At 41.2% G+C, this 19416-nt stretch overlaps 1 long non-coding RNA gene across 4 annotated transcripts in view, besides 1 other annotated feature; it reads right to left on the bottom strand.

Annotated features, from left to right (window-relative positions):
- Positions 1–8326: 8326 nt before the first annotated feature.
- LOC105369167 (uncharacterized) overlaps positions 8327–19416 on the bottom strand; it is a 29572-nt gene continuing 18482 nt past the window's right edge. For all 4 annotated transcript variants that reach the window (XR_940196.2, XR_940197.2, XR_940198.2 and 1 more), the window contains one exon: positions 8327–8481. This is a non-coding gene — a long non-coding RNA (uncharacterized LOC105369167). The remainder of the gene's footprint in view (positions 8482–19416) is intronic.
- Positions 15661–15955: a silencer, noted in NCBI's record as "tiled region #8914; K562 Repressive non-DNase unmatched - State 3:PromF". NCBI's record gives its function as "represses a minimal TATA promoter and a strong SV40 promoter by Sharpr-MPRA in K562 cells {active_cell/tissue: K562}" and the evidence as "EXISTENCE:reporter gene assay evidence [ECO:0000049][PMID:27701403]".

Genomic DNA, 19416 nt, shown 5'->3' with positions numbered 1-19416 from the left:
TTTTATACTATAAACGCAGAAGAGTGTATTTTCAACATTATAAAACAGATATTTAAACTTTCTGTAACAAATGTGAACTGTGAACACTGAATTCAATAAGGAACAATATTGAAAGTTAAATTAGCAAGAGCTTATTAAAAAATTACTATGTTCTCTTTTTATATATCTCATCTATTCCAAGAAATACATAACTTGATCTCACCATTGACTATCTTAAAATCATATTACCCAGCTCATGATTTTTAAGATTAACTTTTGAGGGCAATTTCATACATTGTCAGTGAGAATGTAATTGAAATAATCTCTTGCGAAAGCAATTTTCAGTATATATCAAAAGCTTTAAATTACTTATAGTTTAAAACTAATTATTTCACTTCCGAGAATTTATTTTTTTAACCCTAAATAAAGAGGAGTTTTATGCACAAAGATGTCCATGGCAGTAACACATACACAATGAAAGAATGCCAATTTATAGGCAGTCTGCAAGTTTATCCATTCTATATGATCACAACTATGCAAAGTAAAAAACCAAGCATAGGAAGAAAAAAAAAGTTGAAAGGAAATAAAGCAAAATATTAAGAATTATTTATGCCTTCAACTTTTATATATTTTTCCAAATTTCCCATAATGAACATTATAATAATAATAATGGAGTGAAGGCTTTGTTTTTAAAATGAATAAAGAGGTTTTCTTCCCAGTTTGAGCCTCCAGGAAAGGAGGCTCAATACAGGGCTCTGTATCTTCATTTGGCTCTGTGGCCCCCTCCACTTTATTTAATAATTACTCTGCCCACGTGGATTTGTTGTAAGTGTTGTCTAAAGGAAAGTAGTTAGGTCCAAAAATTCAGAGAGCATTCATCAGGGGTACTGATGTTCTTGGGGGGCACTTATCACAATGTATCAAGAGTAATCCTCCACCACCTCCTCCCCCGCTGCCCTGGAATGGGAACTCTTTGCAAGCAAAAAAAAAAAAAGTTTCACTTATCTGTACATCCTCTATATCAGGGTTTCTCAGCCTCAGCACTATTGACTTTTAGGGCCAGATAATTGCTGGGGGCTGTCTTGAGCATTATAGGATGTTTAGCAGTATCCCTGGCACCTACCCATTAGATACTGGTAGTACCCACCCAGTTGTGACAAATACGTCATTAGACATTTCCAACTGTCTCCTGGATAACTCACCCTCCAACTGAGAACCACTGTTCTATATCTGACTCCAATAATGTATTAGATACTCAATAAAAACTTGTTGAATCCAGTGGGAAGAGAGGTTGAAGGAGAAGTTGACCAGGAAATGAATGGGCAAACAATAGAGTGAATCCAACTGTCGACAGAGAAGCTCAAATTCCAAGTCTCTGTCAATCAGATCCTAACTTGGTAGCCTTGAGCAAAACATTTCACCATTTGGGGCCTCAGTTTCCTCAGCTGTAAAATGAGAGGATTAAACTAGAATTGTAATGATCACCTCACAGTCTGACAACTCTAAGAATTTTGCAAAAAGCCTGAAGCTAGTAGATGCTCAAGAAGTATTTAATAATAGAGTTTGCTGGGTACCCATTATGAGCCTTGCTTTGGGCTATGTCTTTTATTTTTTGATTTTTAAAAATGTTTAATTTCTGTGGGTACCTAGTAAGTGTATATATTTATGGGTTACATGAGATATTTTGATACAGGCATGCAATGTGTAATAATCACATCAGGGTAAATGGGGCATTCATCCCCTCAAGCATTCATCCATTGTGTTATAAACAATCCAATTATGTACTCCTTTAGTTACTTTTAAATGTATAATTAAATTATTTTTGACTATAAAATTATTTTGAAGATAAAATATAAAAATTATTTGACTATAGTCACCCTGTTGTGCTAGCAAATACTAGGTCTTGTTCATTCTATTTTTTTGTACCCATTAACCATCCCCACACCCTCATCCCCACTACCCTGCCTATGAGCTAGGTTTTTTAAATACATTATTTCATTTAATAATCACAGCAACTCTCTGGGGGAGGCACTAAAATGTTTAAATCAATTTTACAGATGGTAATAACAAGGCCCACAGAGGTCATATAGTAACTGTCTGGTGTTGGGATTGGAACTAAGATAAAGCTAACTTCAAAGACTGCATTCAAAGCCACCATCCATACCATAGCATGCATGACCCCAGAACAGGCTGGTAGAGGAAAGATCCTAGAGTAAATGAAAGCTTCCGTTCTGGTAGTATCGGTCAAGAAAATAAGAAATCTCAATTTTAGCAATAAAAATCCTGACTTTCTTGTCCAGTTCCCAGAGACAATTAGAATATCCTCTGTGACATTCCTAAAAAGTCTAGGAGTCATAAACTCAATGCCTACAGGGTCAAGAGAATGAATGGGACCAGGCAAGAACAGAGGAAAACCGAAGAAGGTTTTTCTCCCCGACAGGGCACGGACGCTTCTCACACCTGACCAACGGGTACAGTGCAGAAAGGTGGTCTGAAGCCATCAGACCTTCCCTCCTGCTCAACAGAAAAAAGAATCCTGGAATTCTTAAGCTAAGTTGTTGAAAGGCTGACAGTTTGTTGAATAATTAAGGAGGGGGGGAAATGTGAAAGTCAAAGAAAACAATTGATGAGCCAGATGTAGCTCACAGACCTCCAGTTGGTGGCCTCTAATCTGGTTCTTGTTTGAATGCCTCCTGTGACATAGAGCTCAACCCAGGAGTCAGCCCAATCATATTTGAACAATAGGGAAAAAGACCAAATCTGCCTTCCTACTCCTTCTTCCTTTGGGTTCTCACCAAAAATGAAATGCAGAGCCCCACATGCATCCTTTGGTATGCACTCCCTTGGTTAATATGTCTTCTTTAGCTATTGCTCCTATGTGTGATATGAAGTCCCCAACCCTGGGGAAGGGTAACCCTACCAGAACAGCATCAGATCACATTGGCCTTTGGAGTTGGGTGGCTTTTCTTTGTTTCTGGCAATGACACCACACTCTGAGGAATGCTGCATTTGCACCTGATTCCTTCATTCCCCGCACACCAAATCAAACCTTCAATAAAGCTCAGTGCCCCTATCTCCCAAAACACTGAGTCCCTGGGTTCTTTCCAACTTCATTAATGTCATCCTACTCCAGGTCACCATCACTTCTTGCCTAAATTACTGGCACCCTTGCTTTTACTTTTTCCGCTTTAAACAGAATAATCTTATAAAAATTTACATTTGATCCTGTCACTCACCTGATTTATAGCCTCCAGTGACTTCACATTGCCTTAAAATAAAAGCCAAACTCCTTGATACAGCTTGTAATGCCCCCATACTACTGGCCCTGTCACTGTTCCTACCTTAGGACCTTTGTACTTGGTGTTTCCTGTGAGTGTAAGGCTCTCACCCCAGTTTTCTTAATGTGTGGCTCCTTGGTGACTCAGGTCTCGGCTGAAATGGCACCTTTAACAGTGAGGCTTTCCCCAACCTCACAATATAAATGACTGTCCCTCCCCACAACCACTCTGTTGTATTTTTATCACTTCACTGCATACTAAATGAAAAGATCTTTTTTATTTATTTGGCTACTTTTTATGATTTATCTTCCTCCTGTTGGAATATATCACCCTAAAAGAATGGTGCCTGGCACATAATAGGTGCTCAGTAAATATTAGCTGAATGAATGAAAGAAGACAGAAATCTTGTCTGTTTTATTCAATTACGTGTACTCAGAGTCTAGAGGAGCACTGCTCAATAGAAATAGAATGTGAGTTACATATGCAATTTTAAATTTCCTAGTAGGCACATTAAAGAAAAAGAGAAACATTAAATATATTTCACTATTTTATTATAGCCAATATATTCAACATGTAATTATTAAAAAATGATATATTCTATGTTCTCTTCATATCAAGCCTCAGAAATGCAATATGTATTTTATACTTATAGCACCTACAATTTGAACTAGCCACATTTTAAATGTTCTATAGCATTTCAAATGTTCGACAGTGACTCCCTTATTGGAGAATGCACCTCTAGAATAGTGTCTGACACATAGGAAGTGGTGAATAAGTATTGGCTGAATGAATGAGTGAATTAAATCCTTTCCTTTCTAAATCCTTTCCAAAAGAAATTCTGTTAAGCCACTCCTCCACACTCCATGCTCATATCATTTGTTGATCGGTTGGTTGGCTGGTTGGTTGGTTGGCTTTGATAATGTAAATGTAGGACTTTCCCTTTATTACTATCAGTGTGATTTTTTTTAACATTCAACTCCTGGATCCAGCCTGTTAAGAGCATTTGTCCCAGATTCTATCATCTTAAATATTTGCTAGTCTTTCTAGTTTTGTTTCATGCTCAAATATGGAATTCATACAAAAACATGGGAAGGTCTGGTCAAATTTCTGCAGTATGCCTCTGGAGGCTTCATTTATTGTATTGATCGATCTGCCATCTATCTTTCAGATTCTTCTACCTTCTATACATCTGCCTAGCTGAACAATCCCACACTTCCAATTTCTCCAGTTTTTTTCACAAGAATATCATTTACAGATTGGAAATCAGTTAATGCCTCAAGAAGCTGTTGGCTCAGTGTAGTACCTAGTATTATTCTCATCTACTTGTTCTACTCTGTAATCATATTGTCATCTCTATACAACTCAATAGATTCATATTTTTAAAAAAAAGAAACTGGCAGAACATATAACTAAATAATGATACAAATATTTGGCATTTGTGGATTTAACAATCTTAGTTTCAACTATTCCTTATCAACCTATTTGGTAATTCTCAAGGATGCTGTTCATGAATTTGAATTTTGGGTATTAAAAGACCAGTAGTGAATAGAACTTATTTAGCTAATAAGGAAACCTAGCTGACACTTTAGCATGCCCATTTCAATTTATTTTATAGTTTCTAGTCTTCAACTACATAGTAACTCTATAACTTTAAATAAATTTGTATATAGTAAAAAATGATCTCAAAAAGGAAACTAGAACATTTTGATAATGAAGAAAAAGTAAAAATGTATATGAATTGATATGATTTGGATCTGTGTCCCCACCAAATCTCATGTCAAATTGCAATCCCCGATATTGCAGGTGAGGCCTGGTGCGAGATGATTGGACCATGGGGTGGATCCTCAATGAACGGTTTAGTACTGTCCCCTTGATGCTGTTCTTGTGATAGCGTTTTCACAAGATCTGGTTGTTTAAAAGTGTGTAACACCTTCCCCTTGCTCTCTCTTGCTCCCGCTCCCCAATATGAAATGCCTTTCTCCTCCTTTGCCTTCCACCATGATTGTAAGTTTCTGGAGGGCTCCTCAGAAGCCAAGCAGATGCCAACATTATGTGTCTGGTACAGCCTGTGGAACCGTGAGCCAATTAAACCACCTTTCTTATACAATACTGAGTCTTAGGTATTTCTTAATAGCAATGCAAGAATGGAATAATACAGAAAATTGGTACCAAGGAGTGGGGCATTGCCATAAACATACCTGAAAATGTGGAAGCGACTTTGGAAATGGGTAACAGGTGGAGGTTGGAAGAGTCTGGAGGACTCAGAAGAAGACAGGAAGATAAGGGAGAGTTTGGAATTTCCTACAGACTGGTTAAGTGATTGTGACCAAAATGCTGATAGTGATATGGACAGAAAAGGCCAGTCTGATGAGGTCACAGATGGAGATGAGAAACTTATTGGGAACTGAAGCAAAGGTCACTTTTGTTATGCCTTAGCAAAGAACTTGGCAGCACTGCGCCCCTGCCCTCTGGATTTGTGGAACTTTGAACTTGAGAGTGATGATTTAGGGTAGCTGGCAAAAGAGATTTCTAAGCAGCAAAGCATTCAAGACATAGCCTGACTGCTTCTAACAACCTAGGCTCATATGCATGAGTGAGGAAATGACCTAAAGTTGGAACTTATATTTAAAGAGGAAGCAGAGCATAAAAGTTTGGAATATTTGCAGCCTGGCCATGTGGTAAAAAAGAAAAGGCCAATTTCAGGGGAGAAATTCAAGCAGACTGCAGAAATTTGCATAAGTAAAAAACAGCCAGGTGCTAATAGCCAAGACAGTGAGGAAAAGGCATTTCAGAAAAATTTTCAACAGCCCCTTTCACCACAGGCCCAGAAGCTTAGGAGGACTGATTGATTTCATGGGCCAGGCCCAAGGCCCTGCTGCCTTGCATAGCCTTGGGACACTGGTCCCTGCATCCCAGCTGCTCCAGCTCCAGCCATGGCTCAAAGGGACCCAAATACAGTTCAGGCTGCTGTTTCAGAGAGTCCAAGCCATAAGCCTTGGCAGCTTCCACATGATGTTACATCTGCAGGTGCACAGAGTATAAGAGTTGAGGCTTGGAAGCTTCCACCTAGATTTCAGAAGTTGTATAGAAAAGCCTGGGTGTCTAGGCAGAAGCCTGTGGCAGGGGTGGAGCCCTCATGGAGGACATCTACTAGGGCAGTGTGCAGGGGTAATATGGGGTTGGAGCCCCCACACAGAGTCCCCACTGGGGCACAGCCTAGTAGAACTTGAGAAGAGGGCCACTGTCCTCCAGATCCTGGAATAATAGATCCATCACCAGCTTGTACCTTCAGCCTGGAAAAGCCACAGGCACTCAACAATAGCCAATGAGAGCAGCCATAGGGGCTGAACCCTGAAAAGCCCACAGGGGCGGAGCTGCCCAAGGCTTTGGGAGCTCACTCCTTGCACCAGTGTGCCCTGGATGTAAGACATAGAGTCAAAAGAAACTATTTTGGGCTGTGCACAGTGGCTTATACCTGTAATCCCTGCACTTTGGGAGGCCAAGGCAGGTGGATTACTTGAGGTCAGGAGTTTGAGACCAGCCTAGCCAAAATGGAGAAACCCTGTCTCTACAAAAAAAATAGAAAAATTAATCAGGCATGGTGGTGGGTGCCTGTAATCCCAGCTACTCAAGAGGCTGAGGCAAGAAAATCTCTTGAACCTGGGAGGCGGAGGTTGCAGTGAGCCAAGATCACACCAGTGCACTCCAGCCTGGGTGACAGAGCAAGACCCCATCTCAAAAAAAAAAAAAAAGTAAGAAAGAAAGAAACTATTTTGAAGCTTTAGATTTCATAATAGCCCTGCTGTGGGGTTGGCAGCCCCCCTTTTGTGGGGCCTGTCGCCCCTTTCTTTTGGCTAATTTCTCCCTTTTGGGAGGGGAATATTTATCCAATGTTTATGCCCCCATTGTATCTTAGAACTAACTAACTTGGTTCTGATTTTACAGGCTCATAGGTGGAAGGAACTAACCTTGTCTCAGATGAGACTTAGACATTTAGGACTTTTGAGTTAATGCTCTAAATGAGTTATGACTTCAGGGGACTGTGGGGAAGGCATGACTGTATTTTGCAATGTGAGAAGGACAAGAGATTTCAGGGGCCAGGGGCAGAATGATACGGTTTATATCTGTGTCCCCATCAAATCTCCTGTCAAATTGTAATCCTCAGTGTTGGAAGTGGGGCCTGATGGGAGATGACTGGATCATGGGGGCGGATCCTTCATGAATGGTTTAGTACTGTATTAGTATGTTCTCATGCTGCTATAAAGAACTGCCTGAGACTGGGTAATTTATAAAGGAAAGAGGTTTAATTGACTCACAGTTCCACATGGCTGGGGAGGCCTCAGGAAACTTACACTCATGGTAGAAGGGGAAGCAAACACATCCTTCTTCACATGGCAGCAAAAAAGAGAAGTGCATGGGAATCGTCCCCATGATCTAATCACCTCCCACAGGGTCCTTCCCCCAACATGTAGGGATTACAATTTGGATTACAATTCAGGATGAAATTTTGGGTGGGGACACAGCAAAACCATATCAAGCACCACTCCCTTGGTGCTGTTTTCGTGATAGAGCCCTCTCAAGATCTGGTTGTTTAGAAGTGTGTAGCACCTCCTGCTTCTCTCTTGCTCCCCTTAGGTGGGACACTTCATTCCCCCTTTGTCTTCTGCCATGATTGGAAGCTTCCTGAGGCCTCCCCAGAAGCAGAAGCTGTTACAGTTCCTGTACAGCCTGCAGAAGTGTGAGTCAATTAAACCTCTTTTTTTATATAAATTACCCAGCCTCAGGTATTTCTTCACAGCAATGCAAGAACATACTACAACATGAATTAAACAATTTTCACCAAAACAAGCAAGTACAGAACACTTCAGAATCACATGAAGGGCATCTTTCAAATAAAAACTCCTAAGTCACACCTCTGATGATACAAATTAGGATATCTTGGAATCACACCTAGCAATACATTATTTTAACACAAATGTTCCTGTCTCTTAAGAAGCAGCAAGCAAGGCCCTGGTTAACTGGTGAACGCTCAGTAATCACTGGTGTAAGTACCCATCTGGCTCATGTAGTCAAACTTCTGCAAATTTTATTCTAATATCAGTAGGTCATAATTCTTGGTTGCACAATTTTACAGAAATAAAACAGGGAAATACAAAATGTAGAAACTTGCTCTTGAGATGCTTATTTACCTTTATGGAAGGAAATATTTACTCAACTCAGCAATCTGAAAAAGAAACAATATGCAGTTATAAGGAGACGAGTAAGTACAAATAATATAACTCTAAATAATCAGTAACTCTGGAGTTGTTCGGTTGATTCCCTGAATTCCAGCTGGACACTGAAGACCTTTTATAGTGCAACACCTAAACCTTACACAGGTGTTGGCATTTTTGGAATTTATATTCACAGTTTCCACTGATCAAACCCAAGATATTTTCTCTCATGCAAGAGCCACTCCTCTTAGAATTCCTAGTAAGATTCTGTTTATGAAGCCCCATGTGATCCAATTCAGTGGGTCATCCAAGTGATAACAAAGAAAATGTGTGAATTTGGCAGTGAGGAACTGATCAGCTGCCAACTGACTCATAAACTGGTCCACAAAATGTAATCACAGTGCTGGTTTTGAAGAGGTCAACAACCCAGCTGGCAGAAAGATATAAAGTGCCAAGAAGTCTGGAATAAATAATAATAATAATAATGCATAAACAACTAATTAAAACATTAAGAAAGGGATTTTATTCCACGATCATCAGTGGAACTGCAGGTCACTCTGGAAATACCCCAGACATACCATAGTCTGTCAGTATTTATTGAAGGCCTATTATGTAGTATCCTATGTAGAAAACCCAGACTCAAAGGCAAACCCAGGCAAAACAAGGCTGCATGAGGCCATGAGATAGCAGCAGGGATCAGGCAGGAATGGCTGCATCCAGCACCTAAATGCAGGGTCCTTAACATTGGCTGCTGGGAAAAAGTCAGTAGGATCAAGAGTGATAGGCCTTAAAAACCCAAAGTCTGAGTCTATCCAAACAAGCTCATCCTTTGTCGTACTCCTTATTTTAGCTTCAGGAGTATGGCTGCCATGAGATCCTCTACATACTGGGAGAGGAGACCCTCGTGCATTAGAAATGAGCCTGAGGGTATCAGTTCCCCAAACTGCAGAGTCAGGTCACCTAGGGAGGGTGGCAGATCTGAGCAGAAGTGGAGGATATGATGAAGGCAATGTGGTAGAAAATATATGTGGTAGACAATGAGATACCATCTCATACCAGTTAGAATGGTGATCACTAAAAAGTCAGAAAATAACAGGTGCTAGAGAGGATGTGGAGAAATAGGAACACTTTTACACCGTTGGTGGGACTGTAAACTAGTTCAACCATTGTGGAAGACAGTGTGGCGATTCCTCAAGGATCTAGAACTAGAAATACCATTTGACCCAGCCATCCCATTACTCGGTATATACCCAAAGGATTATAAATCATGCTGCTATAAAGACACATGCACACATATGTTTATTGTGGCACTATTCACAATAGCAAAGACTTGGAACCAACCCAAATGTCCATCAATGATAGACTGGATTAAGAAAATGTGGCACATATACACCATGGAATACTATGCAGCCATAAAAAAGGATGAGTTTGCAGCCATAAAAAAGGATAAGTTCATGTCCTTTGTAGGGACATGGATGAAGCTGGAAACCACCATTCTCAGCAAACTATCACAAGGACAAAAAACCAAACACCGCATGTTCTCACTCATAGGTGGGAATTGAACAATGAGAACACTTGGACACAGGAAGGGGAACATCACACACCAGGGCCTGTCATGGGGTGGGGGGAGGAGGGAGGGATAGCATTAGGAGATATACCTAATATAAATGACAAGTTAATGGGTGCAGCACACCAACATGGCACATGTATACATATGTAACAAACCTGCACATTGTGCACATGTACCCTAGAACTTTAAGTATAATAATAATTAAAAAAAGAGAAAATATATGTGGTAGAAATTCTCTCAACTGACTGTCATTTAACCAACTCATTAGGTCAATAAATGCTCCCCATTCCCTCTCTGAAAACTACAGATGAATGCCAGGACACACTGAATGCCTATAGCTAGTAGGCTGCTCTTATCATTCCTGAGCACCTCCACTTCTACCAGTTTTACTCACAAAGGGCCCGAATTGTCTATGCCAAGTGTACCTGCTATTATAAGTATGCAATTTGCTTGATGCATAAAAATGATGAAATAGGAGAACCAAAACAGTGTTGTTTCTATGAAAACTAAATTGCATTGAGATGATACAGTCAAATGAGTTGCTTTAAGTAGTTTCTGTGGAATTAGGGGTAGGCTAAACAACTGTTTAAAAATGTTGTAAAAGTCTTAAAAAAAGGATACTTAACATCCTCGTTCTACTTTAAAGGACCCAAAAGTAGAAAATGAAGAAAATGCTTGATGGGTTTGGTTTAAAAAAGAAAGATGATTCCCAACTCTGATTAGCAGGCCCCCACCCAGAGGAAAGGCCCAAAGTCTGCAAGAGAAAGAAATGAACTCAGTCAGCAAAAAGAAAATGAAAACCAACCGTGATCCCACTACCCAGGGCCAATCAATGTTAATATTTTCATGTATATCTTATTTTGAATTATATGTATATATTTTAATTAAAGCTACTGATTAAAACAAATATATAACAACTTAAAAACCCACATATAGACATATGCTTTACAATCTATTTTTCTTTCTTAATAAATCACATCCATCTTCTGATGTGGACAAATATTTATCTATGATGCCTTTTCAATAGCCTTGTAGCATTCCATGTTATAGACACAGCATAAATGATTCAAAGAATCTCCTTTTGTTGGACTTTTGATTCCAATTTTTATCTGAAATAAGCAATACTGCCACCGTAGTGCACAGCCTCCACTATTTCCTTAGGACACATTGTGCTGGGTGTAATTTCATACACACATAGGAGGTCTCAGTTCTGTCAAATTCACAGAGACAGAAAATAGAATGGTGGTTTCCAGGGACTGGGGAAAGGAGAAATAGAGAATTATTATTTAATGGATGCAGAGTCTTAGGCAACATGAAAAGAGTTCTGGAGATGGATGGTGGTGATGGATACACAGCAAAGTAAATGTATGTAATGTCACTAAACTGCACACTTAAAAATGGTTAAGATGGTAAATTTTTGTTACATGTATTTTACCATAATAAACTATATATATGTATAGAATTATTAGTTCAGGAATCAAACAACACCAGGCCTCAGACCTGATTTAGCCTGCTGGCTGCAATTAGCCAACCCTGATCTAGTCCAGCGATCTCCAAATAGCGTTCCAGGAGACCTGGAAAGAAACTGTATCTCTGCAGCTGCCAGGCAGCTCTTGGGAAAGGCCTGCAGGGAAGGCTCTGGGCCTTAGCCCTTCTTCAAACACTATAGCTCCACTCTGACCTGGAATTCTATAGGCTTGACTTGAAGAAAGGCCCCTGGTGCTTAAAAAGCTTTGGAAAACCACTGCCTAATCTACATTCCTCATGCTATAGAAGATTACACGAGGGACCAGAGATAGCAAGTGAGATGTGCAGCAGAGTTGGGACAAGAGCCCAAGTCCTTAGCCTGTGAGCTCAGTGCTTGTCCTACACCACTCAGCCTCCCTTCCCCAAGGAAGGCCATGCCCTCCTCACGCAGCAGACTGGGGCTTCTCCTCAACAGCTCCCCTTAGCCTAGGGGCTTAGATCCCAGTAAATGCAAGTAATTTATTCAGCACCTCTATGTGCCCAGAAAGTATCTATGAGAAAAACACAAGGCAGGATCCTGCTCTGTGGTGGGCAAAATAATGGTGCCCCAAAGATCTCCTTGTCTTAATCCCTGGAAGCTGTGAATATGTTATATTACATGACAAAAGAGACTTTACAGATGGGATTAAGGTTAAGGATGCTGAGATAGCGAGATTATCCTGGATTATTCAAGCGAGCCCAATCTAATCATCTGAATCTTTGAAAACTTTCCCAGCTGTAGTCAGAGAGAGACAGGACTATTGAAAGAATGGTCAGAGAGACACAATGTTCCTGGCTCTGAAGATGGAGGTGGAGGCTATGAACCAAGGAATGTAGGCAGCCTCTAGAAGCCAGAAAAGGCAAAGAAATGGATCCTCTCCTACAGCCTCTGGAAAGAATCACAGCCTTACCAACATCTTGATTTTAGCTCCATGAAACCTATGCCAGACTTCTGTCTTCCAGCACTGTAAGATAATATATTTGCCTTGTTTCAACCCACTAAGTGTGTGGTAATGTGTTATGGCAACCATAGAAAATTACTATATGCTCTCAAATAGAGGCGGAATGCCTTACTTGTGCTGCAGTTTGTGGTCAGTTAGGAGCATCTGCTCACTTGGCCCTTTTGTCTTCCCTACTCATCAGCATATTGACCTCTTGAGCATCCAGCCCTGCCCAGAAAGCCTGGAAATCAAAATGTGAGCCAATCTGGAAATTTCCCAGGGGCAAAAGATAATAATACAATAAAAAAAATTTAAACTACCTCTGTAAATAACAGTCATTAAGCTTGACAAGTGTTTTAAAAAAAAAAATTCAGGGCCTCTGTTTCTCCATCCTGGAGACTTGATGAGTGAAGCCAAAGGCTGGGTCACAATAATGTTAAAAACCTGGTCTGGTCTGTATGTGCAATTGGAGGCAGATGTGCATGGGGTGGTGGGGGGAACGGGAGGTAGGGAGGGGATCAAACAGGTAGACACAGGATAGAGGAGTCAGTTCAGGCAGTTCTTTCTCTACATTGACCTAGCACTTTATTCCAGATTAAGAATCAGTAAACTACCACCCTCAGGCCAAATCTGGCCCACCGCCTGGTTTTCTAAATAAAGTTTTATTGAAACTCCAGCCCACTTTCCCATTATATATTATCTATGTCTGCCTTCCCATCACAGTGGCAGAGGTGAATAGTTGTGACATACACCCCATAGCATGAAAGGTCAAAAATATTTATCATCTGGCTCTTTATAGAAAGTTTGCTGACCCCTGAAGACTCATGGGGTAGCCCCATGTAAACGAGAAGAAAAGGATTTCTGAGCAAGAAGAATTCACAAGCTCACAGGAGCTTCTGTTGCCCCTCTGTGCCGCCATGAGATGAGAGGCCATGTTTGTCTTTCCTGCTGCAGTTGGTTTTGTGACTCACATCTTCTGACCCTGCTCAGTGAGGCTGAGAAAGGCAACCACATAACCCAAGGATATCCAGCTGTGGCGATCCAGCTACATTTTCCTTTGAGTCAGCCACCCCAGCATGTAAGCAGCCTCATTTGATCCATTTCTTCTAATCCAGAAGTTCCCAACTCTTTCTACCATATTTTTGAAATTATTACACTAATGTATTTTTCATTACCCATAAATCATGTTGCCCTGCAGCTCTCTGCCCACTGAATCAATGGCCTTTGTTGTTTCAGGGAAAGAAGAGGCACAACCCTGAACCAAGAACTCTTTTTTTTTTTACCTTGTGTTTTATATTGGATTTCTCAAGTCAGAGAGAAACTATTGTCTTAGAAGTGAGTTTTGTTGAAAGAGAAAAATATGTTATTTCTATTCAAAAATTATCTTTGCACATATTAAGAACAAAGCCCAGGGGACTAAGCACAGAGTTTTACTATGAGTTACTGTGTAGAGAGGACAGAGGATGGGATGTGGGGGCAACTCCTGTTGAACAGAAGAAGGGGCAAGACTTTCTACCCATCTATCTCCTCACCTACCGGGGGATGGCCCTGGAAGAAAGAGAGCAAGAAGACAAAAATTCCAGATAGGTTGAGGAAGAATACAAAACTACTTAGGCTGGTGCTTTAATGTGTACTACCCTCCTGTGCTCCACATGCACACACGCATGGCCCCTGGAGTTCAGGAGCCCTAGAACATCATTTGCAGAGAGAAATGCCAAGCAGATGGGCCAAAAATAACCTTCTCTTGTTCCCAGAGATATACCTGGCCTGGGGACATCTAGAAGCTCCCAAATAGCCCTGTGGTAGACATGGAAGAAGGGAGCTGAAAAGTAAGAGTATTTGCTAAGAAGTTGCCTGGTGTGTGGCAAGAGAATCCTATAGCAGAAGCTGGGAAGTAGGCCACATAAAGCCAGTTTCCAGTAGAAGTTCCTGGCTAAGCCCCAGAGGGTCTACGGCAGCAAGAGGCAAAGCAGAGGATGCTAAACCTAGGGGCAGCCACACCCAGCTGACAATCACAAGACACACCAACCAAAGACACCTTGGTAGCTGAAGCTAACTCCCAAAGAGGAGACAAAATCAGCTGCACCTCAAAAAGAAGTCAACAGAAGCCAGAAGAGAAGGACAACACAAGCAGAAAACATCCCGCAGGGTGCAGTGGCTCATGCCTGTAATCCTGGCACTTTGGGAGGCCGAGGCAGGCAGATCATTTGAGGCCAGGGGTTCAAGACCAGACTGGCCAACATGCTGAAACCCTGTCTCTACTAAAAACACAAAAATTAGTCGGGCATGGTGGCACATGCCTGTAATCCCAGCTACTCTGGTGGCCGAGGCAGGAGATCCTTTGAACCAGGGAGGCGGAGGTTGCAGTGAGCTGAGATTGTGCCACCGCACTCCAGCCTGGGTGACAGAGTGAGACTCTGTCTCAAGATGAAAGAAAGAAAGAAAAGAAAAGAAAGGAAGGAAGGAAGGAAGGAAGGAAGGAAGGAAGGAAGGAAGGAAGGAAGGAAGGAAGAAAGAAAGAAAGAAAGAAAGAAAGAAAGAGAAAGAAAAGAAAGAAAGAAGGAAGGAAGGAAGGAAGGAAGGAAGGAAGGAAGGAAGGAAGGAAGGAAGGAAGGAAAGAAAGAAAGAAAGAAAACATCCTGCCCCAACCATGACAATGTTACGTAAGCCTTTTCCTGTGCCCAGATGTCACCCGGGGAGAAGGAGAAGAGGGGTTGAGAGAAGGAGAAAAGGCTTAAGCCTACAGAATCTGAGCTTGCCTGAAAAATATTGCTTCAAACCGGAATAGATCAATTTATTTAAACGGGCAAGTTTAACTTCTTTTGGGTTACTCTGTATAAACAGCAACCCCACAGCAAGATCATGTCAATTACTAAATAAATAAATAAATAAATAAATAAATAAAGTCTCCATTTTGGAGACTATGGATTCCATATTTACAAATCCCCAAACAGGCACTCTTGAGGTCATTTGCAGATATAAGCAGAACAGCAAAAACTTTGAGGACTATTTGAGTACGATGGGTATGATTCCAGAGGTCCCACCCTTCCTTCCTCCCTCCCCTGCCCTACACATATGCTTAAATCCGTTTTTTAACACCAGGAAGGAAAGACCCTCTTTTCCACCACCCCTCCAACCCCAGGCTGAGAGGAGAAAGGGAACACTGATGAATTAAGGCCAGGGGGAAGAGTAAGCAGACCCCCCACTGCTTGGGCTCTGACTGTCCTAGAAGCAGGGAAGTGGGTCAAAGGCTCTGGGCAGCATTCCTGCCTGTGCTAGCCAGCAGCAAAGCAAGGGGGAGTGGGACGGTCCTATTTCCTCTCACTGAGGCTTGCTCCTACGGAGGGTTTTCCAAACCCAGTGGCCAATTCTGTGAGTCCCATGATTTCAGATCAAACCAACACTCCCTATCTCCACAGGACCCACTTTCAGGCCTCCCTGCGTAACCACGTCATGTGCAGTGCCCACCTGAGAAGCATAGATTGGGACGTTAAGCCCCCCTCCCTGAGAGACACACAGCGCAGCGGGCAGGACAGAGGCATGTGGCTGCAGAGTTACAGTATTTCCCTGAAACTGGAACGAATTATCACTACTTGCTCCTCTGTCCTTCTTAGATCTGCAAAGTGTGGGTCAGAGTGACTTTCTTTTTATTGGCCTACCACATATTGAAACCATTCCTGCATGTTGATACTGAATATCTCGGCCAGATCCTTGTGAAAATGACTTACTGTGCAGCACAACAGAATGACTTTCTAAAGTTAAACGTCTTGGGATATTTTATCTTTTCAAGTACATACCAAATGCAATTAAGTTCAAACTATGGAATACAGTCTTTGCCAGTTTCCATTCTTGACACATATGTGTCTGGGTTTACAAGTTCAAAGACCTCTTAAAGGATCAAATCTCTAGCATTAATTTTCTCTTTGTGAGTGAAAAACAGTTCTGCATCCTTCTTTAAATCATCCACAAATAACTCTGTGGCATGAGGCTTCCACCCAAGCCATCTCTAATGTGGCCAGCAAAGGCGGAACCAGAACCCATGGCTGTCCCTCCCTCTCCAGCAGTCCACAGGGGGTACCACAATTGGTTGAAAAGTAAAAAAACTCAGTCACAGAGCTCCAAGCAAAGGATAAGTACGGCGGCCCTACGCCAAAAAACCAATCTGACTTACTGAGCTTTCGCTACACTGACCCAAATCACAGTGTGGTTCTAGCATTCATGGTGGTCTCCTTCCTCCTGCTCCTTCTGCTCTCCCCTGTCCAAGCTTTTTGTACTCAGCTGTCCTGATTCCAGAGACTTCCTCCATTACTCTTATGCCCCCACTTCCTGGATTCCTAAGCCCTCACACAACTCCTTCAGTTTCTCCTTACTTCTCTGAAGGCCACACCTCCTCTCTTCCTCTTCTTCCCTCTCCAACAAAAAGGCCTTTATCAATAGGATTTGGACGCCTAGCTGAGTGATACAACCTGATCGTGCTGGAGAAGCCCAGAAAACCTGTTGCAATTCTCCACCCCACCTCCAACCCGAGTTTATCTTTCAATACTGGTTTTCAAATTATAGTTGAGTCTCATGGATTCCATATTTACAAATCCACCAACTCACTAAACTTTATTTGTAATCCCCAAGTGGGCACTCTTGAGGTTACTTGCAGACATGGGCAGAACAGCAAAAAATTTAACCTGGCCCACGCACATATGCCCAGCTGAGGTTTGAACAAGACAATGCTCTACCTTCTTATTTCAGCTCTCATATTGTAAACAAATGTGCTTTTTGCACTCTATTTAGTACCACAGTTTGGTTTTTTTTTTTTTTTTTGCATTTTTGTGCTTTTCGTTAGTGATTTTGCTCTTTACAATGCCCCTCAAGGGTAGGGCTGAAGTTCTGCCCAGTGTTCCTAAGTTCAGGACGGCTCTGAGGTGCCTTATAGAGAACAGAAGTGTGTCAGATAAGTTTCACTCAGGCATGAGTTATAGTTCTGTTGACCATCATTCAATGTTAATGAATCAACAATATATATTAAATGTTTTTAAACAGAAACACACATAAAGCAAGGTTACGTATTGATCAGTTGACAAAATTGTGACCAGAGGCTAGCAGAAACCTAACCCTATATTTTGCCTAGGAGCAATAGCTCAGTATTTGCTATTTCAGTGTTCTTCTGACTTTATAGAACAAAACTACCATGAATAACAAGAATTGACAGTAAATCTAATGGAGAAATCAAATCAATAATTTCAACATTATGTAATTCTGAGGGGAAAAACACCCCCTTTCCTCTTCCACAGAAGTATAATTTTTGTAAATATAATTCAGAAATGTGTTTTCATCTATGGATGGAGTGGGTGCTTCTTCCCTCTCTGACGTTACCCTCAGGAGCATCCCAACTCCAGACTATCTCAGGTGTTCCTTCTCCTCCCTCACACAGGCTCCGGGTTCTCCTGTCTGGGGAGCTTCCACACCTGCCTCAATTCCTACAAGAATTCTACCAACCTCCCTCAATTCTTTCGTTCTTACCCTTCTGAAAGCCCTGCTCTAGCCATGAGGTACAATAGAGCAGATGGTGTTTATACCCATTTATGTTTCTGCCACTGTTGTCTTGAGGTATATTTCATCGGCCCCATCCCCTCCTTGGTTTGTGAGTTTTCTATTTCCTTCATGAGGCTCACAATGCCTGCTAGAGTGCTTTGTAATTTTGTGACTGCAAAATAAATTATGTGGATTACCCGGAGACGCTCACTGACTTCAAACTGTCCTGCTCGTGGTGCAATGCCTTCTATTATTTCATCATGCTTTAGGCACACTAAAACATCATCACTTGTGTTCTCTCTGTCCCTCTGACAGAGAGACTTGTAGATTTCAAGGGAAAAATATTATTCAAGCACAGCACACTAAAATGTAAATAATCAACATGTGTTTTGGGGTTACGCCATGATATGATCACTGTGATTGATGTATGATACTCCACAATTCTAACCAGGTTATATGTTTGTGACTAGCTAATTTGTGGGTATAAACAACCCAGACAACCTTATTTTTCAGGGTATACTTCTGTACTGTCTCAATTGCTTTGAAATTGTCCTCCCTTCTGCTTTCCACCCCTGGCATGACACTTCCTCTCAAATAGCAGTGGCACCTTCTTGAGTCAGACAGGCTTTTAAATCTCAGCTCTTCTGGCAAATCCATAAAGAAGAAACTATTGATGATGAAATCGCCATTGTGTAGCCTCTAGTAAATTAAGGGATCCAGGCATTGAGCATCAGTGGCTGCTACATCACCAAGGGAAAGAGAACCTCATAATGGAAGAAGATGGCACCACTTATGAAGTATCCTTGCAAAAAAATTCAACCTGAATCTGACCAAACCTGTCACTCCAACTCCAATTTATAGGAAATATAGAGGACAGAGGAATATGTCAAACTACATCATGGGGATACAACCAGCAAAATCCAGACTGTAAGAAACTCTCCAGTCAAATAATTTGATTTCTTCCAAAGATTAATTATATAAAAGAAAGAGGGAGAGAGAGAGAGAGACAGGAAGACATGGAGGAAGAATTTATAGATTGAGAATTAAAACATTATTAATCAATTGCAATGTGTGGAACTTACTTGGATCTTAATTCAAATGAACTGTAAAAAAAGATGATATTTATGAGATAATTTGAAAATTAAGCACTACCTAAAAATTTAATATTAAAAAAGTGTTGTTAAATATTTTGGGTATAATGGTTGTCATTATCTTTAAAAGAAAAAAGACCTTATCTTGTAGAGATTCATGCTGAAATAATTAGTGATGAAATGATACAATGGTGGGGAATTTGCTCCAAAATAATAACAGAGGGAAGGGAGGAGGGGGGTGACTAGAAGATTAGCAAAGAGCTGTTGTTGATTGGAACTAAGTACAGATACATGGGACACTCATCATGCCAT

This window comes from Homo sapiens, chromosome 2 (genome assembly GCF_000001405.40).
Source record: "Homo sapiens chromosome 2, GRCh38.p14 Primary Assembly".
Taxonomy (NCBI): Eukaryota; Metazoa; Chordata; class Mammalia; order Primates; family Hominidae; genus Homo; species Homo sapiens.
Note: the sequence above shows the minus strand (reverse complement) of the source record. Positions and strands in the feature narration are given on the sequence as shown.